Below are 25,691 nucleotides of genomic sequence, written 5' to 3'. Positions count from 1 at the left end.
CGGGAGGTGGGGGCGCCTCTGCCTGGCCACCCCTGCTGGGAAGTGAGGAGCCCCTCTGCCTGGCTGCCACCCCGTCTGGGAGGTGTACCCAACAGCTCATTGAGAACGGGCCATGATGACGATGGCGGTTTTGTCGAATAGAAAAGGGGGAAAGGTGGGGAAAAGATAGAGAAATCAGATTGTTGCTGTGTCTGTGTAGAAAGAAGTAGACATAGGAGACTCCATTTTGTTCTGTACTAAGAGAAGTTATTCTGCCTTGGGATGCTGTTAATCTATAACCTTACCCCCAACCCCGTGCTCTCTGAAACATGTGCTGTGTCCACTCAGGGTTAAATGGATTAAGGGCGGTGCACAATGTGCTTTGTTAAACAGATGCTTGAAGGCAGCATGCTCGTTAAGAGTCATCACCACTCCCTAATCTCAAGTACCCAGGGACACAAACACTGCGGAAGGTGGCAGGGCCCTCTGCCTAGGAAAACCAGAGACCCTTGTTCACTTGTTTATCTGCTGATCTTCCCTCCACTATTGTCCTATGACCCTGCCAAATCCCCCTCTGTGAGAAACACCCAAGAATGATCAATAAATACTAAAAAAAAGAGCCAGCACAAAGAAAAAAGAAAACAAAAACATACCACATGATCTCATTTTTTTTTCTTTCTCAAAAAAGTTTCACTTTTTATTTAGCTGCAAAGCTAAATAAAATGAGTGAGAAGACTCTGCTTGTGCCTTCAACACTTTCACAACGATTTTCTGCTCCTCAATAAGGAAAGCACGCTTGATCCTGCCACGAACACATTTAGCACACATGGAACCACCATAGGCCCTGCTGACATGTTTGTTTGTTTTGGACAATTTCATAAGAACTTTAAGTCTTACAGCACGAACCCCTCGAAGTCTGCCTGGGCACATGCCACAAGCAGATTTTGATGCTTTTCCAACCTTCTTGGTATAAAGGTATTCTATTACCAGGGGTTCGGAACAGCCTACTTTTGTTAGAGGCTGTACTGTAGGAATGCCTACATTGGTATGTCAAACGCTGGACCATTCTGAGTGCCTGCAGACAATGTCTCGGAAGAGCCACATGATCTCATGTCTAGGTAGAGTAGAAAAAAATTCTAACTCGGCCGGGTGTGGTGACTCACCTGTAATCCCAGCACTTTGGGAGGCTGAGGCAGGTGGATCACCTGAGATCAGGAGTTTGAGAACAGCCTGGGCAACATGGTGAAACCCCGTCTCTACTAAAAATACAAAAATTAGCTGGGCGGGGTGGTGGGCACCTGTAAACCCAGCTACTTGGGAGACTGAGGCAGGAGAATCACTTGAACCTGGGAGGTAGAGGTTGCAGTGAGCCAAGATTGCACTACTGCACTCCAGCCTGGACAAGAGTGAGACTCCGTCTCAAAAAAAAAAAAAAAAAAAAAAAAAAAGGCACAGTGGCTCAAGCCTGTAATCCCAGCACTTTGGGAGGCTAAGTGGGTGGATCACCTGAGGCTGGGAGTTCAAGACCAGCCTGACCAACATGGAGAAACCCAGTCTCTACTAAAAATACAAAATTAGCCGGGTGTGGTGGCACGTGACTGTAATTTCAGCTACTCGGGAGGCTGAGGCAGGGGAATCGCTTGAACCCAGGAGGCAGAAGTTGCCGTGGGCTGAGATCGCCCCATTGTACGCCAGCCTGGGTGACAAGAACGAAAGTTTTTCTCAACAAAAAAAAAAAAAAAAAAAAAAAAAAAAAAAAAGGCTGGGGGTGGAGATATTGGTCAAATGTAAGAGGTCTTTCCTGTATCTCTTACCTTAATAAATTATTCTTTTCAGTTTTGATTCACCAGGGAATTGTGTCATATCCTGAAGCATCAAAACTGAAGGACTGAAAGCAATGCAAGTTGTATATTAAAATTTCAGAGGCTTAGCAAAATAATGTATTTTATGGTCACACAACCATTTTTTTCTCATTAAGAGGACTTCTATGTGATCTTTCAGGGATCATATCTTCTTTCATCTTTCTGCATCTTTCTCTTTTTTCAGCCAATGGATGAAAAAACTGATGAAGAGAAGACACATTTGGTTCTTACTTACACTTCACTTCCACTCACTATTTGTCAGTGTGGATAGAGCTGAGAACAGCAGTTTCCTGGCAGGACAGCCACTTGTCAGCAATAAACAACACACTGAAAGAAAAGTACAAATCTTTCATCAAAAGCTAATGGATTTTTAAGCAAAATAAGCATATGCATCAATAACAAAATGCTTGTGGTAAAATAAAGATGAATTTTGTTGATTTCTATTGAGTTCCGGTAATATTTGGACCAAAAGCTAGCAAATATACAGCAAAAAAAGGAATATTATTTGAAATAAGAATATTGTGAATCAAGTTATCCTGTCAGTAGAAGTAAAAATATTACGGCCTCATACTAATAATTTCATCTGTAGCTGTACAACATCAAATGCTTTTTATTAAAAACTGTATTTAATATAAATATTCCATTTATATCACCCTCGCTCACTATTTCAATGCCGTCTCCACTTTATATCAGTGGAAACAGGCCGGCCTGCTCAAGGAGAGCACATGGTGCCATTGCTATGTTAATCATGAAGAGCACTTGTTTGGATGGTGCTCTCATGCCAAACACTGTTATTTAGCTCAAAGTACTGGTTTTCTATTTTTCTCTAAATTTACGAATAAAATAAAATTCTTAGCTAAAAAGACTTATCTCATTGAAATATGTTTTATGAAATTTGGTTGACATTTAAGTGCTGCTGATTTACCTGGAATATTGAAATTTTTATGAATCCAAATTGAGTATTATATGCAATCTTTTACTAAAAGCCTTTGTGAGGCAGAGTAGTATTCATTTCTTTTTTTTTGGCGGGGGGGACGGAGTCTCACTCTGTCGCCAGGCTGGAGTGAAGCAGCGCGATCTCGGCTAACTGCAACTTCTGCCTCCCGGGTTCAACCGATTCTCTTGCCTCAGTCTCCCAAGTAGCTGGGAATACGGGCACGTGTCACCATACCCAGCTAATTTTTGTATTTTTAGTAGAGACGGGGTTTCACCTTGTTGTCTAGTATGGTCTCCATCTCTTGACCTTGTGAGCCACCCACCTAGGACTCCCAAAGTGCTAGGATTACAGGTGTGAGCCACCACACCAAACTGATTCATAAAATTTTTATAATATGAAATAAATTTGTTGATTATGTTCCCGGTAATAAACTGAATACAGCATTCTCAGCTCCTAGTATTCACCCTGAGTCACTCGGGAAATTGTATCTCTGTAAAGGGGCAGAAGAAGGTGCTGAGTGGAGGGGCACCACATTGCCCATAAATGCTTTCCACACGCACCTGTTAGGATCTTGACTTAATTGGGCTGTCGTTTGCGTGGCTAGATACTTAGTGAATCTGGTCATACTATTTTTTGGCAGCTAATGACAAATTGTTACCTATTTTATTCAATTATTTGCTTAGCTGAAAAATACAACTTTTATCAATTTACTCTGACAGACTAGATTTGAAATCTTCAATCTTTTAATGTTAATGCAAACTAGAGAAGAGCACTGTGTATATATGTAGAATGCATTTTTCTGCCTATCAAAATTCTTTTTGTATTGCCTGTGAAACCCTAAGAAGCCACTAAAGAATACGGCCTTTAAATCCTTTAGCCAGAATTTTAGATTTTAAATGGTCAAGAACTTAATGATTGAACAAAACCAAAATTGTCTTTGCTACTTGTTAATAATCTAGCCACTTCAGAAAGCACGGCAATTATGCCAAGCCATTGAAAAGATGTGATTTTGATAAATTCTATCCCATTTCAAATGTTTTTTTCTAATTGTTACTTTTATCGTGTTAAACTATCTGCATAGTTTATGCATTCAAGACATTAATATTAAAGTGTTTAAAGTTTAATACATGACAACGTAGAATCCTCTAAAATGAGCAGAAGTTCATTATTAATAAATTCATTGTTTTCGAGGCTTTTCAATTGTGAAAACAAATAATGAGATATGCTTTTTCATGATAAGCTCAATTCTAGGAAGTTACCCACTGGTCTCCGTGTTATTTTTGTAATGGGTAGTGTAACACTGGGCCACCAGAATGGTGCAGATATGCTGATTTAATGAGAATAAAAATGAGTTCAGCCTCCTTGGCTGACTATTGCTATCCCAGAGGCTGATCATTCACTACAACTTAGTAAATGCTGCTCCATCATGCCAGTGAGCCCTTTCAACCAGGTTGCCCTTTTCCTCCCATTGATTTGCTCATGTTGTGGTCTCCTCTGTTTATCTTAGGCTATCCCAGATGAGAGGTGATTATTTTTGCATGAAGAAGACCCCCTTTTTATCTCTGTCCTGGGATCCTCCCTATTGGAAGCAACATGTGGAAGGCAGGAATGATGACAATATACAAACGTGTTTCCTGCCATGTGGCCACCAAGAGCAGCTTACAACCTGTTCCACCTAGAAGTCACTTACTTCCAGGCCAGCAAGGGTGTTTTTCTACAATGTGTCTTTTTATTTTTTGGGGAGGATAGAGTCTCGCTCTGTCGCCCAGGCTGGAGTACAGTGGTGTGATCTTGGCTCACTACAACCTCTGCCTCCCAGGTTCAAGTGATTCTCCCATCTCAGCCTCCTGAGGAGCTGGGATTACAGGCGCATGCCACAACGCCCGGCTAACTGGTTAATTTTTGTATTTTTAGTAGAGATGGGTTTCACCACGTTGATCAGGCGGTCTCGAACTCCTGACCTCAAGTGATCCACCCGTCTCGGCCTCCCAAAGTGCTGGGATTACAGGCGTGAGCCACCACGCCCGGCCCGTGTCTTTCTCTTAAAAGCACCTCTGATTAAGTTTAGCCCTATCAGGATAATCTCCCTTTTGATGAACACAAAGTCAATACATCAGCAACCTAATTTCATGAGTGATTTTCCACGACAGTAAGTCATATTTTCTTTACACGCCAAAGGAGAGGATTACACAGCAGGTGTGCAACAGATTGGGAATCCTGGCGATCATCTTAGAATTTTGTCTACCCACCTGAATAGACTGTTAAAATAGTCTTATAGTTTCTTTTTTTATCTAAGTAAACAAAAGATATCATTTGCAAATAATAATTAACTACCTTCCCATTTTATTACAAATATTAACATACTTTTTCTGGCTTATTTTTTTCAAGTATCATTTTATACATTTACACACATATACAACAATGAAAATTATTCAATTATTCAATGTGTTAATTTTTATTAAAAATGATTGTTAGGCTGGGTGCAGTGGCTCACGCCTGTAATGCCAGCACTTTGGGCACTTTGGGAGGCCAAGGCGGGTGGATCACCTGAGGTCAGGAGTTCGGGACCAGCCTGGCCAAAACGGCGAAACCTCGTCTCTACTAAAAAATACTAAAATTAGCCAGGGAAGGTGGCAGGCACCTGTAGTCCCAGCTACTTGGGATGATGAGGCAGGAGAATCGCTTGAACCCAGGAGGCGGAGGTTGCAGTGAGTTGAGATTGCGGTCGGCGTCCCCCAACTTCTTAGAGGGACAAGTGGCGTTTAGTTGGTGGAGCGATTTGTCTGGTTAATTCCGATAATAAATGTCAAATATAACAAAAAATGCACAGGTATTAACATACTGAATAGGGAAATGCTGTAAGATTTTACTCTAAGAGCTAAAACAAGTCAAGGATGTGCACTTTCTTCAGTCTTACTAAACATAGTACTAAATGTCCAAGACATAGAAAATAAAGAATAAAATCAAAGGCATCCAGATTGGAAAAAAAGGAGTTAAATTATCATTGTATGATAATCTTTTATCTCAGGCTGGGTGCTGTGGCTCACACCTGTAATTCCAGCACTTTGGGAGGCCGAGGCAGGTGCATCACCTAAGGTCAGGAGTTCGAGACCAACCTGGACAACATGGTGAAACCCATCTCTACTGAAAATGCAAAAATTAGCTGGGTGTGGTGGCGCATGCGTGTAATCCCAGCTACACAGGAGGCTGAGGCAGGAGAATTGCTTGAATGCGGCACGCAGAGGTTGCAGTGAGCCGAGATCGCACCATTGCACTCTAGCCTACGTGACAAGAGTGAAACTCCATCTCAAAAAATAATAAATAATAAAAAATAATCTTTTATCCCTATACATAATCCTAAGAAAAGCCTAAGACTTTACCAAAAACTATTAAAACTAATAAATTTATTAAACATGTGGAATACAAAACCAATATCCAAATGTCAGTAGCATTTCTATGAACTATCTCAAAATAAATTTAAAAAACAATTCCATCTACAGTAACTGTAGTAACTATACTTTAAAATAAATTTAATCAAAATTTTGAAGCACTTTACATTATACTCTAAAAACATTCAAGAAATTAATACATGAATTAAAAAGTTAATCATTAATGAATTGCCATTATTAATATTGTTAAATATTTGTATTACACAAAATAACCTAAAGATATAATGCAACCTCAATGAAAATATCAGTGACATACTTAATAAAAATTCTTAAAAAATACATCTACAATGTATATTGTACCACAAAAGACCCTCAATAGCCAAAGCAATCTAACAGAAAAAAGTGAATCTATCACCCTACCTGACTTTGAAATATACTACAAAAGTACAGTAACAAAAACAGTATGGTGCTTGAATAAAAACAGACACTAGGCCAATGGAGCAAAAAAAAAGATTCCAGAAATATAGCCATGTACTTACAGCTAACTGATTTTAAATAAAGGTGACAATTTCGTAGGAAAAAGACAGAAAATTATGTTGAGAATACTTTATGGCCAAATGCAGAGCAATAAAAGGAGACCCTAACTCACACCACATATAAAAATCCACTCAAAATAAATTAGATATTTAAATGTAAGGCCTGAAACTCTGAAACTACCATTACTACTACAAAAACAAACAAACAAAAAACAACAACAAGAACAAAAAAAAAACCAGAGAGAAGGCCCCATTAACATTTAAACTCAAAATCCCAGGGAACAAAAGGAAAAAAATAAATGAGTCAGAATACTTCAAATTAAAATGCTGCTGCATAGAATACAATCAACAGAATAACTAAAAAATGGGACAAGGCATTATTAATATCAAAAATATATAAGAAAATTAAATGACTATACAACATAAAACAAATAACTATTGAAAATGAGCTGGCCAGGCACAGTGGCTCACGCCTGTAATCCCAGCACTTCGGGAGGCTCAGGCGGGCAGATCACAAGGTCAGGAGTTCGAGAACAGCCTGGCCAACATGGTGAAACCTCATCTCTACTAAAAAACAAAAAATTAGCCAGGCGTGGTGGCAGGCACCTGTAGTCCCAGCTACTTGGGAGGCTGAGGGATCACGCCACTACACTCCAGCCTGGGTAACAGAGCGAGACTCCATCTAAAAAAAAAAAAAAAAAAAAAAAAAAAAAAAAAAAAAGCAAAAAGCATATTTTTCAAGAAAATACATACATATGGCAAATAGATACATTTAAAAATGCTGAATGTCTTTTTTTTTTTTTTTTTTTTGGAGATGGAGTCTCATTCTGTCACCCAGGCTGGAGTGTAGTGGCACGATCTCGTCTCACTGCAACCTCCACCTCATGGGTTCAAGCGATTCTCCTGCCTCAGCCTACTGAGTAGCTGGGATTACAGACATGCGTCACCATACCCAGCTAATTGTTGTATTTTTAGTAGAGACAGGGTTTCACCATGTTGCCAGGCTGGTCTCGAATTCCTGACCTCAGGTGATCCGCCTGCTTTGGCCTCACAAAGTGCTGAGATTACAGGTGTAAGCCACTGCGCCCAGCCGAATGTCAATTCTTATTAGGGAAAGCAAGCCAGAAAAGACTATGAGATATCAACTCACTCATTAGAATGACGCTTACTAAAAATGAAAAAAAAAAAAGGGCCGGATGCAATGGCTCATGCCTGTAATCCCAGCATTTTGGGAGGCCAAGGCAGGTGGATCACCTGAGGTCAGGAGTTTGAGACCAACCTGGCCAACATGGCAAAACCCCATCTCTACTAAAAATACAAAATTAGCTGGGCATGATGGCAGGGACCTGTAATCCCAGCTACTTGGGAGGCTGAGGCAGGAGAATTGCTTGAACCCGGGAAGCGGAGGTTGTAAGTGAGCCAAGATCGCACCACTGCACTCCAGGCTGGGTGACACAGTGAAACTGTCTCAAAAATAAATAAATAAATAAATAAGTAAATAAATAAATAAAAGAAAAAAGTGTTAGTTGGTAAAGATGTCAATAAAAGAAAATGCTTACACACTGTTGGTTTGAATGTAAATGAGGACAGCCATTATGAATAACAAAATAGAGATTACTCAAAAAAACTTAAAATCAAACTACTATATAATACAGCAATTGCACTGTTGGGTATGTATTCAAAACAAAATCAGAATGAAGAAATATTCACACTTCTATGTTGCTTTCAGCACTCTTCCCAACAGCCAAATTATGCAATCAACAGTTCAACATCTAATAAGTAAATAAAGACAATATGGCATATATACACAATGGAATACTATTTATATTTAAAAGAAAATTCTATTTTCAATCACATGGATTAACCTGAAGGACATTATATTAGTTGAAATAAGCCAGTTACAAAATGATTAGTATCTCATTTCACTTACACATGGATTCAAAAAAACTTAATCTCATTGATGTGGAGAACAAAACGGTGACCACTAGATGCCAAGGTATTTTTAAAAATGGGGGAATTCGAAAGATATCTGCCAAATAATACATATAGTTGGATAGGAGGAATAAGTTCAAGATTGTTCGGCATTGCGACTATAGTTTATAATATTGCATTTGTTATGTTTGAAAAAATGCTAAGACAATGTTATGTAATCTCACCATCAAAATGTTAACTATTTGAGATAAAGCATTAATTACATAAAGCTAATAAGCATCTGACCACCTGTATATACTTCAAAATGCTGTTTTACAGAATAAATACACATTTTCTCTTTCAAGTTAGAGAATACATTTCTAAAACCTTATAGAAAGATAACAGTATTTCAAATAATGTCTGTGTCTTTGTCATAAACTTGGCTGAATAGTATAAAAAATAGTTTTTGTACTGTTTTATCATGTGTCAGTCATAACCACAGGAATTTTGATACTTGACAGCATGGTTTTTGTTTTGTTTTTTTTGTTTGTTTTGAGACAGAGTTTTGCTCTTGTAGCCCAGGCTGGAATACAATGGCACCATCTCTGCTCACTGCAATCTCCGCCTCACAGGTGCAAGCGATTCTCCTGCCCCAGCTTCCCGTGTAGCTGGGATTACAGGAGTGTGCTGTTACACCCAGCTAATTTTTGTATTTTCATTAGAGATGCGTTTTTGCCATGTTTGGCCAGGCTGGTCTTGAACTCCTGACCTCAGGTGATCCACCCTCCTCGGCCTCCCAAAGTGCTCGGAATACAAGCGTGAGCCACCGCGCCCAGGCTTGACAGCATGTTTTAAACCCAGCACAGTGCATGGGAGGAGCCAATGTACTTTAGTGCTTTATTTTAAGCTTGGGGCAGCTACTAGGGAGGCTGAGGCGGAAGAATCGCTTGAATCTGGAAGATGTAGGTTGCAGTGAGCCCAGATTGTGCCACCGCACCCTAGCCTGGGTGACAGAGTGAGACTGTCTTAAAAAAAAAAAAAGAAAAAATTAAATTTAATATGGTTTACTTACCATAAACTCTCTTAAAATTTTAATTTCTATGATATATTTTCTAGCAAATTTTATATTTGTCACACTTTGGGTAAGAATCTAGTATGATTTTCTTTTTACAAACAATACTTTTTCTTTTTACAAAGAAAGAAGCACCATGCTAACCGATTTAATCCTCTCTCCTGTGGACAGTGTATGCCTTTTATCTTAATTAACTGATCTGAAAGTTATATTGATAAGCAAACTCTCCAGTTGAAACCAATTTTTCAGTGCATTAAAAAATATCACAGTTCTCATCAAAACCCACAAAACACCGTATGAAATGACATGGCATGAAGAAAACAGTGGGAAAACTGTAGCCATAACACAGAAGAAGAAGAAGGGCTATGATGCATACATGGGTGGAATACACATAAAAAGACAAACAAAACTTAAGATAATTAGAAAATAAATGAAGCAGAACTTCTTTTTAAATTCAGCAAAATTCAGCTTTGCAGCCTGAAAAAAAAGTACTCGCCACATGAAGAATCAATTGTTTACCTTTGATATTTTCTACCTCTGAACATGAAGTTGCAAGTTTCACAGGAGTATTTATGCCTTATTATGGAGCATCTGTTATACAGCAAGCACCGTCATGTTTGTTTGCTACATTTAGGTATAAAAACATTTTCATGACTTATGAAGCTTCCCTAGTACTTACCTGAACAAATTGGCCCAATCAATGAATAAATTTATTTATATCCATTATAAAAAGTGAAAAAAACAGTAACTTAAGAAAAGGAGGCTTATATAGGGTTCTCCAATTAAAAGAACAAAATGGAATGTTCCAACTAAATAAAATATAATTTAACAAACTAATTTTAGAATTACAGGTAAAAATTATTTTGTGTGCATGACTAAATTTCTTTTTTTTTTGAGATGGATTCTTCCTCTGTCGCCCAGGCTGGAGTGCAGAGGTGCAATCTCAGCTCACTACAACCTCTGTCTCCCGGGTTAAAGCTATTCTCCTGCCTCAGCCTCCCAGTAGCTGGGATTACAGGTGCACGCCACCATGCCCGGCTAATTTTTGTATTTTTAGTAGAGAGGAGGGTTCACCACGTTGGCCAAGTTGATCTTGAACTCCTGACCTCAAGTGATCCACCCACCTTGGCCTCCCAAAGCGTTGGGATTATAGGCGTGAGCCACCGCGCCCGGTCCATGACTCAATTTCATTAAAATCATTCATATAATCACAGAGCAGCTCACATAATGAAAACTTCATAAACCATAAAACAAAAAACTTATATAAGAAACAAGAAAGTTATGGGCCTAGCATGAGTACCAGGCAAGTAAAAACAGAATTTGCATGGCAAGATTCTGAATCATAAGCCATAAGATTGTACAGTAATAAATTCAGAACAAAGCAGAGAGCAGAAATTTGCATTCACATTTTTGAAGATTTTTGTTTTCTAGAAAATTGGACACCTGGCCGGGCATGGTGGCTCATGCCTGTAATTCTAGTACTTTCGGAGGCTGAGGTGGGTGGATCACCTGAGGTCAGGAGTTCAAGACTAGCCTGACCAATATGATGAAACCCTGTCTGTACTAAAAATACAAAAATTGTCCAGGTGTGGTGGCCTGGGCCTGTAGTCCTAGCTACTCAGGAGACTGAGACAGGAAAATTGCTTGACCCTGCGAAGCAGAGGTTGCAGCGAGCCGATATCACACCGCTGCACTCCAGCCTAGGCAACAGGGCAAAACTCTGTCAAAAAAAAGAATCAAAAAGAAAATTAGACACCTTATTAATTTTCTTACACCTAAGGTTTATATTTAGACTAACAGATGTGTACATTTAACTCTATGTAAATCAAAACTAAAAGTCTGTATGTGTTTGCAAGCAGAGAGGCCACATATTCAAAGAAAAATATATAAGAAATTTTTTAAAGTATTTATTCAGGACTCAAAAATGTGTAAATTTTGTTTATAATTGTATATAATTTTTATTATTATAAAAATAAACCTGTAGTCAATAACAATTTAATTATACATTTGAAATGATCTAAAACTGTAGAACTGAATTGTTTGTAATACAAAAAATAAATTCTAGAGGTGATGGATACGTCATTTATCCTAATGTGATTATTAGTATAAATTATATATTGTATGCCTATCAGAATATGCCATATATAACATAAATATTATGTGCCCACAAAAATTAACAAAAGTAAATTTAAATGGGAAAAAAATAAAAATTTTACCTACAGAAACAATATTCCTTAACTTATTTGCAGTTTAAAGCCACTGGCAAAAAAGATTACTAGAGATGTTAGTCCATTATTTTACCAAATAGTGTATTGTTACGATCTTTTACCTACACCCTTGAGTAAGGTGGACTAGGTTAAATTAAGTGGAATAATGTGACTTGATTGAATGCACAATATTTAACGTTAAAAATGTTCAATTAAATTTTCACACATAATATAAAATTTTTAACATGTATTGCATTTTGTTTCATAAAAGTACAATTAGTAAAATAATATATTATTTTAATTTTAACTAAAACTAAAAATATTCGTCTCTCAATATAATGCAGAATATTACTCTGAACACCTACCTCATGCATCACTCAATACTGTAAGTGAACCACAAAGAACCTCTTTACTTAAGATTTTCATCATGCATCTTACATTTTAATGTCCTTACTCTTTCATTGAAGAGGTCATAAATGCTCACCTAAAAAAAAAATCTCTCATATCTTTGATGCAGCAACAATTGGTCATACGCTTTCACAGATGAATACAATAGGAAAAGAGAAACAGCATGGGCTGGGCCCAGTGGCTAACACCTATAATCCCAGCACTTTGGGAGGCCAAGCTGGGCGGATCACCTGAGGTCACGAGTTTGAGACCAGCCTGGCCAACATGGCAAAACCCCAGCTCTACTAAAAATATAAAACTTAGCTGGGCGTGGTGGTGTGTGCCTGTAATCCCAGCTACTCAGGAGGCTGAGGCAGGAGAATCATTGAATGCTGAAGACGGAGGTTGCAGTGAGCCGAGAAAGCGCCACTGCACTCCAGCCTGGGTGACAGAGTGGGGCTCTGTCTTAAAAGAAAAAAAAAAAAGAAAGAAATTAATTTATTTAGCATGAAGTAATTTGAGTTAATTACAACATTATTTACATGAAGTAATTTGAGAGTTAATTACATTACTTTTTAAAAAATCTGTAAGCTTTCCAAAAAAAGTATACTTGTAATGTAATTATAACTCTCCAAAAAATCTTCTACTCTTTTAAAGTTATATACAAATAATTTTTCTCCCAACTTTAGTTTTGGATTATTTTCTAAACTCAGAACTCTGATTTAGTGTAAAATCTGAAGTGTCAGTGCCTTATATATTTCTAATGTAAATTCTCTGGTATTTACATAGACAATTTTGGATTAAATTTTTTTTTCTTATTTACTGCATCTGCAAAAATATATTTTACTATGAACTCTCTGGAGTTTTCTAACCTGTAGTTTTTGAATAAATGTTTTTTTCCTAAATTTATTACATTTACAGGGTTTTTCTTCAATACAAATTCACTGATGTTGAACAAAGTTTGAGTAATTGCTTCAGGGTTTGCTCTAATACAAAATGAATACAACAAGATCTGTGTTACAAGTAAAGTTACTATAACTCTCTTTATATTTGTAATGTTTGTCTTCAAAATAAATCCTCTTCAGCACTTTAAAGGCTTACATTTTCTCAAGAGTCTTTTGACAGTAATTGCACTTTTAATGCTATTAAGTATAAATTCTCTGATGTTAAGATGTGAGCAGATATTAATCACTTTTTTACTTTCTTTATATTTGCACATTTGTTCTCAAGTATAAAGGCTTTCCTGTGCAATAAGGTGTGAGCATTGTTTAAGTCTTGCCACACTGTTCACACTCGTGATGTTTTCTCCAGTATGAATTACCCTACTTACAAACAAGTGTGATAACCATTTAAAGGCTTTGTCACATTATTCATATTTCTATGTTTTCTCACCAGCACAATTTCTTTTATGTTTGGAAATGTTTGAGATGTTGTCACAAGCATTGTCACAACTTTCAGGTTTGTAGAATTTCTCTCCAGTATGAATCATCTTATGTCTGTTAAGAATAGAGGAGTTGTTAAAGGCTTTGCCACATTCTTCACACTTGTAGGGTTTCTCTCCAGTATGAATTATCTTATGTGTAGTAAGGTGTGAGGACTGGTTAAAGGCTTTGCCACATTCTCCACATTTGTAGGGTTTCTCTCCAGTATGAATTACCTTATGTTTAGAAAGAGTTGAGGACTGGTTAAAAGCTTTGCCACATTCTTCACATTTGTAGGGTTTCTCTCCAGTATGAATTATCTTATGTGTAGTAAGGTGTGAAGATAGGTTAAAAGCTTTGCCACATTCTTCACATTTGTAGGGTTTCTCTCCAGTATGAATTATCTTATGTGTAGTAAGGTGTGAAGATAGGTTAAAAGCTTTGCCACATTCTTCACATTTGTAGGGCTTCTCTCCAGAATGAATTCTCTTATGTGTAGTAAGGTGTGAGAACCGGCTAAAGGCTTTGCTACATACTTCACATTTGTAGAATTTCTCTCCAGAATGAATCCTCTTATGTGTAGTAAGGGTTGAGGATTGTTTAAAAGCTTTGCCACATTCTTCACATTTGTAGGGTTTCTCTCCAGAATGAATTCTCTTATGTGTAGTAAGGTGGGATAACCGGCTAAAGGCCTTGCCCCATTCTTCACATTTGCAGAATTTCTCTCCAGTATGAATTATCTTACGTGTAGTAAGGGTTGAGGATTGGTTAAAAGATTTGCCACATTCTTCATATTTGTAGGGTTTCTCTCCAGCATGAATTATCTTATGTGTAGTAAGGGTTGAGGACTGGCTAAAAGCTTTGCCACTTTCTTCACATTTGTAGGGTTTCTCTCCAGTATGAATTCTCTTATGTGTAGTAAGGTTTGCAGATTGGTTAAAAGCTTTGCCACAGTCCTCACATATGTAGGGTTTCTTTCCAGTATGAATTATCTTATGTGTAGTAAGGTGTGAGAGCCGGTTAAAGGCTTTTCCACACTGTTCGCATTTGTAGGGTTTCTTTCCAGTATGAATTCTCTTATGTGTAGAAAGGTTTGAGGCCTCATTATAGGCTTTCCCACATTCTTTACATTTGTAGGGTTTCTCTCTAGTATGAATTCTTTTATGTTGAGCTAAGTGTGAAAGCATGCAAAATGACTTTTCACATTCTTTACATTTGAAAGGTTTCTTTCCAGTATGTCTTATCTTATATCTGTTTGAATTTGAAAATTTATGAAAGACTTTCACATATTTATCACATTGTAATATTTTGCTCTGGGTAGTTCTCAAACACTGGTTAAGTCCATTGTAACATTCTTCGTGCACCTTACACTCATCCATGCTTTTACAGTATTTTCCTAACTGTAAATTTTCATGTCCACATTTTTTATATCTTTTCAGTATCACTTTTTGGAAACAATTTTTTATGCCCTGCTTTGGCCAAAAGTCTTGGGCAAAATAAGAACATACAACTGCAAGAAATAAAAATAATCAATTACTCCACTTACTAGATACAGATGAATATACTTTACAAATCTAACCTATAAAATTATACAAACTACATCACAAGTAGCAAAATATTACAGGCTCTAACTTTTTCACAGACATATAATGTAACAAAAACATACAGACCAAATTACATTTGTGAAAAATTAAAGTAAGTTAAGTGTGCAGTGCCCCAGGTGAGCCCAATGCAAACAGCCACATAGAGGAAAAGTCAGTTCCATTTACCCAACACAGATGTTCCTGCTTCCCAATAAAACATAGTGACTTTAGAAATAAATTGCCAATTCCTGGTTTCCTTTTTAAAAGACAAGTAAAATACTGGCTTATACATCTTTATTTCTGAATGGTAGGGGCTTTTACAGACACTGGTTCCTGTCCCTCATTACATAAAGTTCTGAAAGAAATAGAGGTATTCTTTCAAATGACAGTTTGAGTCTGCTGAAATGAAAGATAAGTTTTACAGCAGCAGAAAGACTGTGATATCATAGACAGGTAACAATTATAGCAAGTGATTATTGGTTATTAAGAAGAACTATGAACAGGCTGAGCATGGTGGCTCACACCTGTAATCCTAGCACTTTGGGAAGCCGAGGTGGGTGGATCACCTGAGGTCAGGAGTTCGAGACCAGCCTGGCCAACATGGTGAAACACTGTCTCTACTAAAAATACAAAATTAGCTGAGCATGGGGTCAAATGCCTGTAATCCCAGCTATGTGGGAGGCTGAGACAAGAGGACCACTTGAACCCGGGAGGTGGAGACTGCAGTGAGCTGAGACCATGCCACTGCCCTCCAGGCTGGGTGACAGGAGCAAAACTGTGTCTCAGAAAAAAAAAAAAAAAAAGAAGAAGAAAGAAACATGAATAATAAACTGCTTTAACTAAAAACTAAATACAAAATTTTAGACAAGGCACATCCTAAGAACATGTTTGAGAGACTCTCAGAATCTCTAGCCAAGATAATTATTTTCAGACTATGTCAGAAAAAACTACATTTTAAAGACTGTGACAGGTAGCTTTTTAATGTCCAAATCTCAATCAAAGATTACAATGTATACAAAACAAGGCAATATAGTCTCATCAAAAATATTGTATAAATTTCAGAAAGAAACCATAAAAAAGATGTACACATTAATTTTAAACACTGATAATAAATTGAATAATATTCAATGAGTGAAACAGGAACACGGCCCAGTGTAGAAAATCACAAAAATGGGCTGGGCGTGGTGGCTCACGCCTGTAATCCCAGCATTTTGGGAGGCCGAGGTGGGTGGATCACGAGGTCAGGAGATCGAGACCATCCTGGCCAACACGGTGAAAACCCGTCTCTACTAAAAAAAAAAAATACAAAAAAATTAGCCAGGCGTGGTGGCAGGCGCCTGTAGTCCCAGCTACTCGGGAGGCTGAGGCAGGAGAACTGCATGAACCTGGGAGGCGGGGCTTGCAGTGAGCCAAGATCGCGCCACTGCACTCCAGCCTAGGCGACACAGCGAGACTCTGTCTCAAACGAAAAAAAAAAAAAAAAGAATCAGAAAAATGAGAATAAAAACGAAAGTATCTACAATTTTTTTTTTAAATTTGTAGGTAAAAAAAACAGAAAAATAAATAACTGGAAAATCCTAAAAGTAGGAAAAAAATGATGTAAAAATGAGGAAGTTCAACAAACAAATTAGGAAACACACAAAGATATTTATAACAAATACATTTATAAGCACATTTTCAAAAATCACAGACAAGAAGAAAGTCTTGGAAGCTGCAAGATAAAAGCAATGTGTCATTTACAAACATAGTCTTATAACCAGTAAATTATCAACAAGAATTTTGCAGGCCAGAAAGAAACTGTGTGACACAGTCAAAGTCCTGAAAAAAAAAAAAAATCTACCAAGTGAGAATAATACCATCAACAAATCTGCCCTACCAAATAAAAAGAAAAAACCTTCCAAAAAAAAAAAACAAATTATGAAAAAGTATATTATTAGCACTGCATATGCCCTACATATAAAAGACGCTGAAAGCAGTTCTTTAAACTGAAAGTAAAAGAATTTGAGAAAATACCACATAATCAAATACAAATACATTATTTTCTGGGAAAGATATGCACATACACAAAAATAGAATCTTGTGGCATTATCATAATGGTGCAGAAAATATTTTAATCTATTCTCTAAAATTTGAAAAATAAAAGCACAGAAATTAAACATCTGTTAATGAATATACAATGTAAAAACATAATTGGCAACATCAATGACAAATTTCAGGGCAGATGTAATGAGGAAGAATTTTTTATTCAACTGAAGTTTATTTTATACCAAATTAAAAATATACTGTTGTTTCTTATAGAGGTTATCTGTAACCCCCAAGGCACCACACACACAAAAAAAATCTGTATAGATACACAACAGTGAATTAGAAATAAGTAAAAGCATATCAATACAAAAATCAAAAAGACACAAGAGAAAATGAGAAACAAAGATGCAAGAATCAAATAAAATAATTAAAACAGTAAGTCTCTTTCAGAAAATTATTTAAATATATATAAAATTAACTTTCAAATCAAGAGACATACTTTCAATAAATAGATTTAAAATTTTAAAAACCAAGATCCAACTTTTTTTTCTACAAAAGTCAGTTGAGATCTAATGATAAAAAAACACTGAAAGGGGGACGATGCAAGAATACATTTCATGCAAGTGTTAATCAAATGAGAGCAGAAGAAATCAAAATAATATTATGCAACCTACATCTTAGTCAAAAACTGTCATATTTTATAAAATGTATTTGAAGTCAAAACTCCAAGGAGACAAAAAAGGACATAAAACTTACAGATTTAGGCTGGGCACGGTGGCTCACACCTGTAATCCCAGCACTTTGGGAGGCCGAGGCAGGTGGATCACTTGAGGTCAGGAGTTCGAGACTGGCCTGGCCAACATAGTGAAACCCCATCTCTACTAAAAATACAAAAATTAGCTGGGCATGGTGGTGGGCACCTATAATACTAGCTACTTGGGAGGCTAAGGCAGGAGAATCACTTGAACCCAGGAGGCAGAGGTTGCAGTGAGCCGAGATCACACCACTGCACTCCATCCAGCCTGGGACACAGAATGAGACTCTGTCTCAAAAAAAAAAAAAAAAAAATAGATTTATTCACTGGGAACCTATAACAAATTTGTATATATGTACGTGTGTGTGTGTGTGTGTGTGTGTGTGTGTGTGTGTGTGTGTATCTCACATTAGGGCTTCAAATATAAAGCAAATATTGACAGAATAACAGAGACACAGAGAGAGCAACATAATTATAGTAGGATATTTCAATACTGCACTTTCTGTAATAAAAATAAAATAAGAATATTAGTAAGGGAATAGAGGACTTGCAGGCAACAATTATTCCTAACACAGGTATAAAAAACACTCCTCAACATCAGGACACACATGGTTCTCAATAGCTAACACAACACTTTCCTTGATAGACCACTTCTTATGCCAAAAAAAAGTCATCTTACCAAATTTTTTAAAACTGAAATTTTATAAATTACTTTCTATCACCAAAATGAAATGAGTATACAACAATTAAGAAAATAAAAAACCTGAAAAATTCACACATATATGGAAATTAAACAATACACTCTTGAGCGTGCTCTTGTGAAAGGCTGAAAAAGGCAACATTGTAAAGATGTCCATCCTGCTCAATGCAATCTACAGATTTAATGCAATGTTTTTCAAATTTCTCACTGCATTTTTGATGAAAGAAAAACAGCAATCCCTCAAGTACATAGAATCTCTACAAAGTGCCCAAAAATATTAAAAACAAAATAAAACAATGTTGGAGGCATTACAGTTCCTGATTTCAAAACACATTACAAACCTACAGAATTAAAACAATTTGGTATGAGTATAAAGGTGAAAAAGTAGACTAATAAAATAGAATGCAGCACATACATAAACTCTCACATATATGGTCACATGAAGAGTCATTTGCATACCCACAATTATTTTAGCATTGTTACTAAAAGCCAATAGGTAAAAGCAATGCAAATTTCTGTCACCAAATCGTTCAACAGATATAATTTAAAATATAAAAATACCAAAGAATTACTCAATTTGCAAAAAAGCAGGACATATTCTAACAACTAACAGAAATTGTATGAGAGATCTATAAAGCAGTTATACTCTTAGAAACAGAAAACAGAATGGTGTTTCAAAAGTGCCAGGAAATGGGAAAAACTGGTAGTTGTCTAATGTGTATTGTAAAATTTCTAGAAGTCTTTTCTAAAAACAATGTAAATATACTTAACATGTCTGAAACGTACAGTGTTTTTGAGTCAGGGTCTTACTCTGTGACCCAAGCTGGGGTCCACGGCACAATTATGGCTCATTGCAGCCTCAAACTTCCATGTTCAAGTAATCCTCCCTCCTCAATCTCCCAAGTAGATAGGACCACACCACCATGTCTGGCTATTTTTAAAAATGTTTTATAGAGATGAGTTCTCCACATATCTCCCAGGATGTTCTCAAGCTTTTGGGCTCAAGTAGTCTTCCTGCCTTGGCCTCCCAAAATCTGGGGATTACAAATGTGAACCACCACGACTAGCCATGAAATGTACACTTAAATAGATTTAAGATGGTAAATTTTAGGTTATGTGTTTGTACAATTATTTTTTAAAAGAATAACTGAAGAAGATACAGAATTATAAATCTCTCCAAAAATTACCTTCAAGTCACAAAAGTGCTTCTCTCACACAAAGGAAATATATGTTTATTATAACAAGGTGAAAATAAGACTATTTCCATGACTACCCATTTAGACAAGATAAAGACACCATTAAAAATCAGCTAAGAAAAAATATATACAAGATTAGCCATAACCAAAATTGGGGTCATATTTATAGATTAAAAACACACACACATATAATCAGATTTTAACAGACAATATGGCTGATTAATCTCTTAAACTCCACACTGACTTAGGTATACAAACAGAATTGCAAATTGTCTAAAACTATAAAACCAAAAAACACAATAAACTTATATTAAGAAACTAACACTGAAAAAAAAAACACTGAAATGGAACTACAAAATAATAATAAAAGAAATGTTTACTCATAAAATCTGGTATGCAACACTGATGTAGCATTAATAAAGAATTCGTGTAGATAGCTGTAATATTTTACTGTAACTGTGTACTCATTGAAGGTGGCTATTTTGAATCACTGGCATCCATTGTAATGCAGTATAATTTCAGATAAAATGTAGTATAATCATAAACAAGATTCTAATGACAAACTGATAAATAAGCATTTTAATAAATAAGATCATTTTTAAGTTGTAAATATATGCTATTCTTACACAAAAAAACTGCTGTAATCCAAATTTAGAAGCAAAGAATAGCCTTACATTGCTAAATAAAGAAAAAAATTATCTATTTTGCAGAATATGGTCAGAGCCTCTGATACATAAAACAAATATTTGGGAACAAATTATGTCATATTTTAGATATAGGGTGACGAAAGTGAGTAAAAATCCTGTAATCTTTTTTTGCCTGCCTATATTTCCTTTTTGCCATGTTGGTATGCTGCACCCATTAACTTGTCATTTACATTAGGTATATCTCCTAATGCTATACCTCCCCCTTCCTCACACCCCATAACAGTCCCCAGTGTGTGATGTTCCCCACTCTGTGTCCAAGTGTTCTCATTGTTCAATTCCCACCTATGAGTGAGAACATGCGGTGCTTGGTTTTCTGTCCTTGTGACTGTTTGCTCAGAATGATGGTTTCCAGCTTCATCCATGTCCCTACAATGGACATGACCTCATCCTTTTTTATGGCTGCACAGTATTCCATGGTGTGTATGTGCCACATTTTCTTAATTCAGTCTATCATTGATGGACATTTGGATTGGTTCCAACTCTTTGCTATTGTGAACAGTGCTGCAATAAACATACTTGTGCATGTGTATTTATAGCAGCATGATTTATAATCCTTTGGGTATATACCTAGTCAAATGGTAGTTCTAGTTCTAGATCCTTGAGGAATCACCACACTGTCATCCGCAATGGTTGAACTAGTTTACAGTCCCACCAACAGTGTAAAAGTGTTCCTATTTCTCCACATCTTCTCCAGCACTTGTTGTTTCCTGACCTTATCACTATTGTTATTATCATTATACTTTAAGTTCTATGGTACATGTGCACAAAATGAAGGTTTGTTACATATGTATACATGTGCCATGTTGGAGTGCTGCACCAGTTAACTCATCATTTACATTAGGTATATCTCCTAATGCTATCCCTCCCGGCTCCCGTCACCCCACGACAGGCTCCAGTGTGTGATGTTCACCACCCTGTGTCCAAGTGTTCTCATTCTTCAATTCCCACCTATGAGTGAGAACATATGGTGTTTGGTTTTCTGTCCTTCTGATAGTTTGCTCAGAATGATGGTTTCCAGCTTCATCCATGTCCCTACAAAGGACATGAACGTGTCCTTTTTTATGGCTGCATAGTATTCCATGATGCATATGTGCCACATTTTCTTAATCCAGTCTATCACTGATGGACATCTGGATTGGCTCCAAGTCTTTGCTGTTGTGAATAGTGCCGCAATAAACATATGTGTGCATGTGTCTTTATAGCAGCATGATTTACAATCCTTTGGGCATATACCCAGTAATGGAATGACTTGGTCAAATGATAGTTCTAGTTCTAGATCCTTTGAGGAATTGCCACACTGTCTTCCACAATGGTTGAACTAGTTTACACTCCCACCAACACCGAAAAGTGTTCCTAATTCTCCACATCCTCTCCAGCACCTGTTGTTTCCTGATATTATTATTATTATATTTTAAATTCTATGGTACATGTGCACAACGTGCAGGTTTGTTACATATGTATACATGTGCCATGTTGGCATGCTGCACCCATTAACTCGTCATTTACATTAGGTATATCTCCTAATGCTATGCCTCAACACGCCCCCCTCCCCACGACAGGCCCCAGTGTGTGATGTTCCCCATCCTGTGTCCAAGTGTTCACATTGTTCAATTCCCACCTACGAGTGAGAACATGCGGCATTTGATTTTCTGTCCTTGTGATAGTTTGCTCAGAATGATGTTTCCAGCTTCATCCATGTCCCTACAAAGGACATGAACTCATCCTTTTTTATGGCTGCAGAGTATTCCATGGTGTATATGTGCCACATTTTCTTAATCCAGTCTATCATTGATGGACATATGGGTTGGTTCCAAGTCTTTGCTATTGTGAATAGTGCCACAATAAACATATGTGTGCATGTGTCTTTATACCAGCATGATTTATAATCCTTTGGGTATATACTCAGTAATGGGATGGCTGGGTCAAATGGTAATTGAGGAATCGCAACACTGTCTTCTGCAATGGTTGAACTAGTTTACACTCCCACCAACAGTGTAAAAGTGTTCCTATTTCTCCACATCCCCTCCAGCACCTGTTTTTTCCTGACTTTTTAATGATTGCCATTCTAACTGGTGTGAGATGGTATCTCATTGTGGTTTTGATTTGCGTTTCTCTGATGGCCAGTGATGATGAGCATTTTTTCATGTGTCTGTTGGCTGCATAAATGTCTTCTTCTGAAAAGTGTCTGTTCATATCCTTCACCCACTTTTTGATGGGGTTGTTTGATTTTTTCTTGTAAATTTAAATTCTTTGTAGATTCTGGATATTAGCCCTTTGTCAGATGAGTAGATTGTAAAAATTTTCTCCCATTCTGTAAGTTGCCTGTTCACTCTGATGGTGTTTTCTTTTGCTGTGCAGAAGCTCTTTAGTTTAATTAGATCCCATTTGTCAATTTTGGCTTTTGTTGCCATTGCTTTTGGTGTTTTAGTCATGAAGTCCTTGCCCATGCCCATGTCCTGAATGGCATTACCTAGGTTTTCCTCTAGGGTTTTTATGGTTTTAGGTCTAATATTTAAGTCTTTAATCCATCTTAAATTAATTTTTGTATAAGGTGTAAGGAAGGGATCCAGTTTCAGCTTTCTACATATGGCTAGCCAGTTTTCCCAGCACCATTTATTAAATAGGGAATCCTTTCCCTATTTCTTGTTTTCATCTGGTTTGTCAAAGATCAGATGCTTGTAGATGTGTGGTATTATTTCTGAAGGCTCTGTTCTGTTCCATTGGTCTATATCTCTGTTTTGGTACTAGTACCATGTTGTTTTGGTTACTGTAGCCTTGTAGTATAGTTTGAAGTCAGGTAGCGTGATGCCCCCAGCTTTGTTCTTTTGGCTTAGGATTGTCTTGGCAATGTGGGCTCTATTTTGGTTCCATATGAACTTTAAAGTAGTTTTTTCCAATTCTGTGCAGAAAGTCATTTGTAGCTTGATGAGTATGGCATTGAATCTATAAATTACTTTGGGCAGTATGGCCATTTTCACGATACTGATTATTCCTATCCATGAGCCTGGAATGTTCTTCCATTTGTTTGTGTCCTCTTTTATTTCGTTGAGCAGTGGTTTGTAGTTTTCCTTGAAGAGGTCCTTCACATCCCTTGTAAGTTGGATTCCTAGGTATTTTATTCCCTTTGAAGCAATTGTGAATGAGATTTCACTCATGATTTGGCTGTTCGTCTGTTAATGGTGTATAGGAATGCTTGTGATTTCTGCACATTAGTATCCTGAGACTTTGCTGAAGTTGCTTATCAGCTTAAGGAGATTTTGGGCTGAGACCAATATACAATCATGTCATCTGCAAACAGGGACAATTTGACTTCCTTGTTTCCTATTTGAATACACATTATTTCTTTCTCTTGCCTGATTGCCCAGGCCAGAACTTCCAACACTATGTTGAATAAGAGTGGTGAGAGAGGGCATTCCTGTCTTGTGCCAGTTTTCAAAGGGAATGCTTCCAGTTTTTGCCCATTCAGTATGACATTGGCTGTGGGTTTGTCATAAATAGCTCTTATTTTGAGATACGTCCCATCAATACCTAGTCGATTGAGAGTTTTTAGCATGAAGGGCTGTTGAATTTTGTCAAAAGTCTTTTCTGCATGTATTAGATAATCATGTGGTTTTTGTCTTTGGTTCTGTTTATATGATGGATTACATTTATTGATTTACGTATGATGAACCAGCCTTGCATCCCAGGGATGAAACTAACTTGATCGTGGTGGATAAGCTTTTTGATGTGCTGCAGGATTCGTTTAGCCAGTATTTTATTGAGGATTTTTGCATCGATGTTCATCAGGGATAATGGTCTAAATTCTCTTTTCTTGTTGTCTGTCAGGCTTTGGTATCAGGATGCTGCTGACCTCATAAAATGAGTTAGGGAGGATTCCCTCTTTTTCTATTGATTGGAACAGTTTCAGAAGGAATGGTACCAGCTCCTCTTTGTACCTCTGGTAGAATTCGGCTGTGAATCCATCTGGTCCTGGACTTTTTTTTATTGGTAGGCTATTAATTATTGCCTCAATTTCAGAGCCAGTTATTGGTCTATTCAGGGATTCAACTTCTTCCTGGTTTAGTCTTGGGAGGGTGCATGTGTCCAGGAATTTATCCATTTCTTCTAGATTTTCTAGTTTATTTGTGTAGAGGTGTTCATAGTATTCTCTGATGGTAGTTTGTATTTCTGTGGGATCTGTGGTGATATCGCCTTTATCATCTTTTATTGCATCTACTCTCTTTTCTTATTAGTCTTGCTAGCGGTCTATCAATTTTGTTGATCTTTTCAAAAAACCAGCTCCTGGATTCATTGATTTTTTTAAAGGGTTTTTTTATGTCTCTATCTCCTTTAATTCTGCTCTGATCTTAGTTCTTTCTTGACTTCTGCTAATTTTTGAATGTGTTTGCTCTTCTCTAGTTTTTTTTTTTTTTTTTTTTTTTTTTTTTTTGAGACGGAGTCTCGCTCTGTCGCCAAGGTTGGAGTGCAGTGGCACGATCTCAGCTCACTGCAAGCTCCACCTCCCGGGTTCACACCATTGTCCTGCCTCAGCCTCCCAAGTAGCTGGAACTACAGGCGCCTGCCACCACGTGTGGCCCATTTTTTTTTTTTTTTGTATTTTTAGTAGAGATGGGGTTTCATCGTGTTAGCCAGGATGGTCTCGATCTCCTGATCTCATGATCTGCCCGCTTTGGCCTCCCACAGTGCTGGGATTACAGGCATGAGCCACTGCACCCGGCTGCTTCTCTAATTCTTTTAATTGTGACAATAGGGTGTCAATTTTAGATCTTTCCTGCTTTCTCTTGTGGGCATTTAGTTCTATAAATTTCCCTCTACACACTGCTTTAAATGTGACCCAGAGATTCTGGTCTGTTGTGTCTTCGTTCTCATTTGTTTCAAAGAACATCTTTATTCTGCCTTCATTTTGTTATGTACCCAGTAGTCATTCAGGAGCAGGTTGTTCAGTTTCCATGTAGTTGAGCAGTTTTAAGTGAGTTTCTTAATCCTGAGTTCTAGTTTGATTGCACTGTGGTCTGAGAGACAGTT

At 37.1% G+C, this 25,691-nt stretch overlaps 2 pseudogenes; both read right to left on the bottom strand.

The window, feature by feature from the left end:
- Window positions 542–1,077, bottom strand: RPL34P33 (ribosomal protein L34 pseudogene 33; annotated as a pseudogene).
- On the bottom strand, window positions 13,873–15,214 carry ZNF849P (zinc finger protein 849, pseudogene; annotated as a pseudogene).

This window comes from Homo sapiens, chromosome 19 (assembly GCF_000001405.40).
Source record: "Homo sapiens chromosome 19, GRCh38.p14 Primary Assembly".
Lineage (NCBI taxonomy): Eukaryota > Metazoa > Chordata > Mammalia > Primates > Hominidae > Homo > Homo sapiens.
Note: the sequence above shows the minus strand (reverse complement) of the source record. Positions and strands in the feature narration are given on the sequence as shown.